Source organism: Homo sapiens, chromosome 8 (genome assembly GCF_000001405.40).
Source record: "Homo sapiens chromosome 8, GRCh38.p14 Primary Assembly".
In the NCBI taxonomy this organism is placed as follows: Eukaryota; Metazoa; Chordata; class Mammalia; order Primates; family Hominidae; genus Homo; species Homo sapiens.
Genome location: NC_000008.11, coordinates 14028683 through 14038301, shown reverse-complemented (window position 1 = coordinate 14038301; position 9619 = coordinate 14028683). Strand labels below are relative to the sequence as shown.

General features: G+C 32.9%; 1 annotated feature.

Annotated features, from left to right (window-relative positions):
• Nucleotides 4296–4465: an enhancer, noted in NCBI's record as "experimental_101653 CRE fragment used in MPRA reporter constructs". NCBI's record gives its function as "activates a minimal promoter by MPRAs in K562 erythroleukemia cells, with activity observed for both the introgressed and non-introgressed 8:13891431 variant alleles {active_cell/tissue: K562}" and the evidence as "EXISTENCE:reporter gene assay evidence [ECO:0000049][PMID:34662402]".

The following is a 9619-nucleotide window of genomic DNA, read 5'->3' as shown; positions in this document are numbered from 1 at the left end:
TTTATTACAATCAAATACTTCCCCGGATAATATACAACAAGATAATAAATGTTACAGATTACTAACCACATAAAATCACATTGAAATTGTGCATCTTTGTTTTCCCTCAGCAATAGAGGCAGTCTTCACTTTACATAGTTCTCTAATAACATATCAGAACTGTGTCTCCCTTTGCATGTTCTGACGTGCAGGCAGAATCCACAGGCATGATTCTGGGCAGAGAATAGCCTGTATAGCTTAGTGGTTAAGATTACACCTCCTGTGGCCAAACAGTTCAACTCCAATACTTCTGCATTTCCCTCAGTTTATTCATGTATAAAGTAAAAGACATAATAGTTCCTGCTCCTGGAGGCTGAGGCAGGTAGGGTAGCTTGAGCCCAGGACTTCAAGGTTACAGTGAGCTATGACAGTTCCACTGCACTCCTGCCTGGGTAACAGAGCAAGATTCTGTCTCTAAAAAAATAAATGATCAAAATAAAAAAGCTAAATTAAATAATAATAAAATTAAACTGCCAAAATGTTTATTACTTTGAGCTATTTTTAATTTGGTCCAAACCAATACATTTTGATTAATTACTAATTTGATGGGGTTGGTGGGGTGTGCGAAGCAAGCCAGCAAGAAGTTTTAGTTCTCATTGTTACTCAAACAGAATGGATTTTTCCCCTATGAATTCCAAAAGGAAACTCCCCGTTTGTAATCATAAAATCCTTTTATGCAAAATAAAATAAACATAATTTTACTTCCAAATTCCATAAATGTGAATAAGGTATTTTATGTTCATGCTTTGGCATTTTTCAGTACATTGTTCTTTCCTGTCTTCTAGCATCACTAAAGTAGAGATTACGTTCATTTTGGACAGATAATAACACAATTGATCTAGTCCTCACTTTTCTCACTTGCTAACTTCGATTTCTTTACCCAATGCTAGGAATTCTGACATAAAGGGTAAACATATTTAGATAGAAATTTTGAATAAAGTAATTTGCATACCCCTTTGCCTCCACTGGAGATTTCTGTAGTAGAGATGTACTATTGGTTCTTCCAATGAGGCATTCATTCTACAAAGATGAATTATATTATACAGCCGGCAGTACATTTGCTATAGTTTTCACATTCTCCAGTGTTGAATGGACCACTGCCCCACAGAAGATAAGAAAACGCTTTCAAAATTTCAAAATATAGTTTTAAAAAATTAAGGCTGTGTTGTGAAATAAAAGATAAAAGCTAATACCATTTATTTGTTCACAGTAAAACTATATTTTGCATAAGCTTCTAGAGCCAGATGTTTTCTAGTTGTACTATTCAATTATGGTTTTTCAACAAATTCATCATTATTAGTCTTATAATTACATAGGAAATTCTGCCACAGAATGAAGAATACTTAATGTGAGTATTTATACATTTATACAGTTGATAATTAATTGAGTGATGTAAACAGAAAATTTAGTGATTACAGTTTATACAGCATCTTAATTATCATATTTATTTTTAAATTTTAGACGTGTGCCAACAATAAATACACAACTAAGCTTCATTAGTATGATCAGAGGCATAAGTTCTCAAGGAAATATAGTGGATTCAATACCTGTTTGAAAAATTTGACCTGTAAAAATCTGTTATCATTGAGAAAGTCTCCCACTTCCTCTAATAGACCTTTCCATAAGAAACTACCTAGACAATATATAAATACTACACTAAGAATCTAATTGTCGAGTCTTAAAACATATTTTTATATTTATAATTCACCTACAAGAAGGTATTTCTTCATTATTTTGTGCTAGAGTGACCTTATTGCTTTACAGAGGTAAGATTTTGCCATTTCCAACCAAAACTTTTGACTTAAATTTGTTTCAGAATTCACACTTTTCTTTTTCTTTTTTCTCAGAAAAGTATTGCATTGCAAATACAATATGTCCTAACAGGTTTTTGAGGCAGCATCTGCAACAACCACGTTAAAATCTCTGCCAAAAATGTGTTAATAATCATACTAAATGGCATAAAGGGAAACTACTTTAAAAACTCGCATTATTTTCTTATTTGGCTTAATTTTTTCAAGTTAGGTATTATTGGCATATGAGCTTTGGAAACACTTGATTTTAAGAACTCATGTGGCTTTGGAATTTCAGATAAGGTATTATGAACCTGTGTTGTCTGTGATCAAAGTTTTATTATTAACACAGTTAATAATAACCCCACTGAAAATAACCCCATATAGTTAATAATAAGCCCACTGAAAAACAAGAAAACTGGTAGCTACTTTATTATTTTCCTTGACTTCCTAGGCTTCAGTGTGAATCAGATAATAACATGTTCCTCATCTAATATAAAAACATCTCTTTAATCTCTTACCTGTCTCCCTAACTCGAAAATATATTCCCGTAGAAGTAATAATTGGCTTCAGTCCACAGTTTTATTGAACAGCTGCTATGTGCTCAGAACCACACTGGTGAGAGTACAGTTTTGCATTTTGAAAGGCCTTCTCCTATCATTGCTAACAGAGCAAAAGTAACACGCATAGAAATGTATCAATTAATACAAGGCAGAGTATATTCTTTTATTACCTTGTAGTGTGAAATGATGTAATATGTCAGGGAAGAGCAATTGTGAGGTGGAATATTTCTGCAAAGTTTAGATGAGGAAGTAAGCCTTCTGTAAGTTTTTGGTAACTATTTAGGAACAAGGACAGAAGGAACATCAAATAAGTTAATGAGCATGAACAAAGGAAGGGAAACAATAATTATTGAGCAACTATTCTGTGTCAGGTAACATATTACATTTGTAAATGCATTATCACTCTAGAAATAATTCATGTGTAATATAAACAGAAAGATAAAATATGTGCTGGCGAAAAAATGTGTATAAGGACTGATAGACAATGACATGCATAGAGTATAGTCTGATACAAATAAAACAAAACTAGTCATGTGCCCTCATGTATCATATATAAGTAAATATTTCACAGGCTGCTTCTTTTATGTTTTTCACATAAACTACTTAATAATGATTTGAAATGAAGTTCCTTGGTGGATGGGGGTAGGCTGTCTTTGGCAAAGTTACCAAAAAGTATGTACTCCCTTTAAACACATACGAGGTGTGCCGAATCCTCCCTATCGTAAAGATGTCCTAAACCCTGGGACCTATGAATATGTTGGTGATATGGCAAAAGACACTGCAAATGTTTTTAAGGTTATATATCTTAAAATGGAGACATTATGCTGGATATTTTCCAGCAGATTCAACCGGACCACAACAGCCCTTAAAATCAGAGCACGTTATCCTGTTCGAGTCAGAAATGGCAGAAAGAGGAGTCAGAGAGGGGCGGCAGAAGGGCAGACCACAGAGATGAAAACACAGCAACTCGATCTGCTGCTGCTGGCCTTGAAGGCTGATTAAGGGGTCCATGAGCCAGGATATACAGGAGGCCTTTAGAGAAAACTTAGAACGACCTCTAGCTTATAGCCAGCAAGGACACAGGAACTTTAGCTCTATCACTCCATGACGCTGAATTCTGCCACTACCATAATGAGCAGATTCTTTCCCAGGGCTCACTGAAACCTTGGTTTCAACGTTTTGAGGCTCTGAGTAGAAAAATCAGCCCAGCCTAATAGAACTTCAGTGACATGAATAGAAACTTACAAAATTGTGAGATAATAACTTTACGTTGTTTCAAACATCACAGAGTGTGATAATTTGTTATGGCAGGAATAGAGAACTAATATAATTAGAATTGAATGGATACACACATTAAGAAGTATGTGATTGCATTTAGTATAATGATTTTTAATGCTCCAAGGTGGTATGCATTTTTTAAACACTTTGCAAATTGCTCTCTAAGGCACTCTTACCCCACAGAAGACATAGTGAGTTTTAGTATAAAGTAATTTTTATAGCCTTGACCAAAAAAAATTTAAAATTGTCACAATGCCAATTAATTTTCTATTTCATGAGTTAAAAATTAAGGAAGACTTACTAACAGCTTCGCTTATTTTCAAAAGCATGTCTCTATTCTATTCTCTGGAACAAGAGTAGCTACTTTAATTAGGTAAATTTTCCCCAGATTCTGACATTGGATAATAACATATACCATAAGTTTACTCACTACACTTACAGATATTTTTCATTAAGAATGTAATAATGCTCACACCTTCATTAACTCTGTTTAGCAGTGTTAATTACATTGGATGCTGAAGTCTCTCACAGTTTTTTTCAATGCCATTTCATCAAAGCATTGGATCTCATGGCTAGAATATAATAAATGTATAATAGAGTTAATATTTATGTAACACAAACCCTTTCTGTTAGTATCGTGTTCACAAAGGCAGGAGCCATAGCTTATTTATCAGTGTTTACAATCTCTGGCATTAGGTCCTCAGCCTTCATTCTCATGTTGTAGAATTTAACCATTTGCATTCAAAAATATCTATGAAAATGTCTATTTATTTAGTCATTCACAATAGGCAACATGAATTCAATGTCAAAGATGCTGACTTAATATCTTCTTAACTTTAATTAATGCATTCTGTAGGGACTCTAGCAGAGCAGTAAAGTATAGGGGAGCCTGTATTTGTCACTCTCCTCTAACAAATCTTAATATTACCCTATATATAATATGTTTAAATTGCAGCATGATAGCTTATGGAGAAAGCTATTCTAGGATAAATTAAGAGGTAGCAGATTTAACCCTGGCTATACTAACAAATGTCTGTATGACACTAGGAAAGCCATTTAATATTTCCAGCTGGCAATTTGTCTGTCTCTCTTAATATGAATTTAGAACAGGTTATCTCTGAAAGCCCATCCATATTTATGTCTCAATCTATAAAACACATATGGTTAAAGTAACTTTGGTAACTAGGATTTTGTCTGTTAAATGTCTGATCCAGATAGATTACGAACTGCCCTTGAAAAATGGTACTGTCCAAAAGAAAACATGTATTCTATGTTAAATGTCTTTTTACTCTCTTATCATTTTAACACAGTGACCAGGCCTGGAAGACTGTGAAGGTGACCAACATTGTAGCAAATATTTTGATTAAAAAATAAGTAATTTTATGTTTGCATTTTTGTTTTAGGTTGGATGAACAGTCAGAATGGCTTTTTTTTAATACTTGACTTCTGGTATTTATAAAATTTATCGTGGATTTTAATTGGCAGTAAATATTTTTGATTTAATAGAAGACAATTAGTAACTTGTTCATTTCCCTTAGATTATCTGGAGACAAGAGTAATCTCTGTCTTTATGATTCTATGATATATATTTTGATAAAATTCTATATTTCAAGTTTTTGTTACTCAACATATCAAAACTATTTTTTTTGACTACCATTTGGCAATCTCAGTAATCGGTGTTAATTTTTTTCTTGTTTTAACTAGAAACAGTTTATTTTTGAGTTACAGGATTTTGTATTATTGAGTCCATTTTTAAACTCCTATTGAAAAGTGGGTGCTTTATTAAAAATATTTGTATTTAAAAAAGATCTTTATTGAGGTAGAATTTATATAGTAAAATCTGCATGTATTTAAATTGCATAACACAAGAATTCATATGTGCATATATCTGTGAAATCAACCTGACAATCAAGATGATAAATGTTTTCTCATGCTCATTTGTAATCTCTGCCCCTAGGTCCCCTTTGCATTCCTACAAACCTCCCTCCCCATCTGCAGGTAAACATTAATCCTCTTTCTGTCACTATATATTAATTTGCATTTTCTAGGAATTTATATATATGTAATCATAAAGTATGTATTTTTTTTGGCCTGGCTTCTCTCACTTTACGTACTTATTTTGAAATGAATCTGTTATTTTACAAGTATCAATTGTTGGTCACTGTTTTTTATTGCTAAATTGTATCCCATGATATAAACACAGCAAAATTGTCCATTTTCCTGTTGATATATATTTAGGTTGTTTCTGGTTTTAGAGGTATGATATTGGTTGAATTATGTCTTTCAAAAATTCATATGTTGGATTCCTAATCCCCAGTATTTTGGAATGTGAACTTATTTGGAAATAGGGTCATTGTGAATTTAATTAGTTAAGTTAAAATGAGGGCCATACTGGTGTAAAGTGAGCTCTAATCCAATATGACTGGTGTCCTTATAGAAAGGGGTAAGATTTAGAAGGAAGACAACGTGAAGACACAGAGAAAAGACCATCCACAAGCCAAAAAATGCCAACTTTTCACGCCGCTTACAAAGAAAGATAGTTTTACATCTTCCTTTCTCATTTATATGTTATTTATTTGCTTGATTATCTATCTTTCTATCTATTCATCTATCATCCATCTATGTTACTATATAATTATTTTTGCCTTATTTGACTTGCTGGAATCTCCAATTCGATGTTTAATAGAAATGGTGAGAATGGACATTTTTGCTGTGCTCCCAATATTAAGGGGAAAAGTTAATATTTCAACATTAAGTGTGATGTTTGCTGTAGGTTCTTCAAAAGATCTTTGCCAGGTTAAGAAAGTTTAATAATATTCCTACTTTGTTTAGGATTTATTATCAGAAGTTGGTGTAGAACGTTGTCAAGGATGTTTCTGTGGCTGAAGAGATGATCATATCTTTTCTCAACTTTTAATTTTTAATTATTTAAAGTGGTAAATTTCATTGTTTCATTTAAGAACGTGAAATCAACTTTACCTTCTGGCAATAGAGCCCACTGGGTCATAGTGCATTCATTTTTTGTGTATTGTTGGATTCAATTTGCCAAATTTCTTAAAATATTTTCATCTGTGTTCATGAGACATACTGTTCTGTAGTTTTATTTCATGTCTTTACTTTTGATATCACAGTGACTGTGTCCTCACAGAGTGAGTTGGAATATAGTTCTTATTCTGAAAGACGCTGTGAATAACTGGTGATACTTATCCTTAATTTTTTTTTTTTTTTTTTTTTTTTTTTTGAGACGGAGTCTCGCTGTCGCCCAGGCTGGAGTGCAGTGGCGCAATCCCGGCACTTATCCTTAATTTTTTTGATAGAATTATAGTAAAAAACAATTACACTTGTAAGTTTCTTTGTTGGAAGAAATGTAAAAGCAAATTTTAATTATTTTAATAGACAAGGGGCAATCAAGTTGGTCTATTCCTTCCCAAGTGAGTTTAATAGTTTACGTTTTTCAAGAAAATTATATTTGCTTTTCACGTGTTCAAATTTTTTAGCATAATGTTGTTCACAATATTATTTTAATATCCATCAAATATCTATTTGATCTCTAATGATGTCAACCTCATCACTCCCATTATTGTTTTTTTTTCTCTTTTTTTGGTCTGACTAGAAGTTTATCGATTTAATTAATTTACTCAAAGAACCAGGTTTTTGTTTCATAGGTACATTTTATTGTTTTGTTTTTAAACTTAAGTCTGGTCTTTAGTATCTCTGTTTAAATTTTTAAATTTTAAATTTTTATTTTCGTGGGCATATAGTAGGCGCATATATTTGTGGGGCACAAGAGATTCTGTGACATAGGCATACAATGCATAGTAATCCATCAAGGGAAATGGAGGATCCATCATCTTGAGCATTTATCCTTTCCTTTTGTTACAAAAGGAGCCAATTTTACACTTCTAGCTATTTTTAAATGTACAATGAGTTATTGTTGACTGTAGTCACCCTGCTGTGCTATTGAATACCAGATCTTCTTCATTCTTATTCATTGTTCCTAACTATATAACCATATATATATATATATATACACATACAGATTGTTTGCTGAATTTTGTATGTTTGTACAGATGTACAGATGTTTGTACAGTATAAACTATATATAGTTTATACCATATATAAACTATATATACAACTATAAATAGTAACATAGATGGATATATATATCTATGTATGTAACTATAACTATATATTTATAGTAACTATATATAGTTACATATATAGATAGATATATATATCCATCTATGTTACTATATAATTATTTTTGCCTTATTTGACTTGCTAGAATCTCCAATTCAATGTTTAATAGAAATGGTCAGAATGGACATTTTTGCTTTGCTCCCAATATTAAGAAGAAAACTTAATATTTTAACATTAAGTGTGATGTTTGCTGTAGGTTCTTCAAAAGTTTTATATATATATAACTATATATATAGTAAGGACAATGTCACTGAGATATCAAAACTAAAGACATGAAATAAAACTACAGAACAGTATGTCTCATGAACACAGATGAAAATATTTCAAGAAATTTGGCAAATTGAATCCAACAATACACCATATATATATATATATATATATATATATATATTTTTTTTTTTTTTTTTTTTTTTTTTTTTGAGACGGAGTTTCACTCTCATCACCCAGACTGGAGTGCAATGGCATGATCTTGGCTCACTGCAATATCTGCTTCCTGGGTTCAAACGACTCTCTTGCCTCACTCTCCCGAGTAGCTGGGATTACAGGCACCCGCCACCACACCAGCTAATTTTTGTATTTTTAGTAGAGATGGGGTTTCACCATGTTGGCTAGGCTGGTCTCAAACTCCTGACCTCAGGTAATCCAGCGGCCTCGGCCTTCCGAACTGCTGGGATTACAGGCATGAACCACTGCACCCGGCTCCTAACTATATTTTTTTACCCGTTAGCCACTCTCCCTCCCAACACCACTACACTCCCCAGATTCAGGTAAATGTTGTTCTATTCTATCTCCATGAGCTCAATTGTTTTAATTTTTACCTCCTACAAATAAGTGAAAACATATGAAGTTGGTCTTTCTGTGCCTGGCTTATTTTACTTAACATAATAACTTCTCCATCCATGTTGTTGCAAATGACTGGATCTTATTCATTTTATGGCTGAGTAACACTCTGTTGTGTGTATGTACCACATTTTCTTTATCCATTCATCTGTCGATGGACACTTAGTTTGCTTCCAAGTTTGGCTACTGTGAATGGTGCTGCCATAAACATCGGAGTGAAGATATGTCTTTGATATACTGATTTCCTTTATTTAAGGTATATACTTAGGAGTGGAATTGATGGATCATATGGTAGGTCTATTTATAGTTTTTTGAGGAACCTCTAAAGTGCTCTCCATAGTGGTTGTACTAATTTACATCCCTACCAGTAGTGTACAAGGTTTCCCTTTCCTCCACATCCTCACCAGCATTTGCTACTGCCTGTCTTGTACAAAAGGCATTTTAACTGGGGTGAGATGATCTCTCATTGTAGTTTTGATTTGCATTTCTCTGCTGAACAGTGATGTTGAGCACCTTTTCATATACCTGTTTGCCATTTGTATGTCTTTTGAGACACGTCTATTTAAATTTTTGCCCTTTTTTATTTGGATTATTCGATTTTTCTTCCTATAGAGTTGTTTGACTTCCTTATATATTCTGGTTATTAATCCCTCATCAGATGGATAGTTTTCAAATATTTTCTCCCATTTTGCAGATTTTCCTGTCACTTTGCTGATTGTTTCCTGTGCTGTGCAGAAGTTTTCTTTAACTTGCTGTGATTCCATTTGTTCATTTTTGCTTTAGTTGCCTGTGCTTATGGGGTAGTACTCAAGAAACCTTCGCCCAGTCCAACGTCCTGGACGGTTTCCTCAATGCTTTATTTTAGTAATTTCATAATTTGAGATCTTAGATTTACATCTTTAATCTATT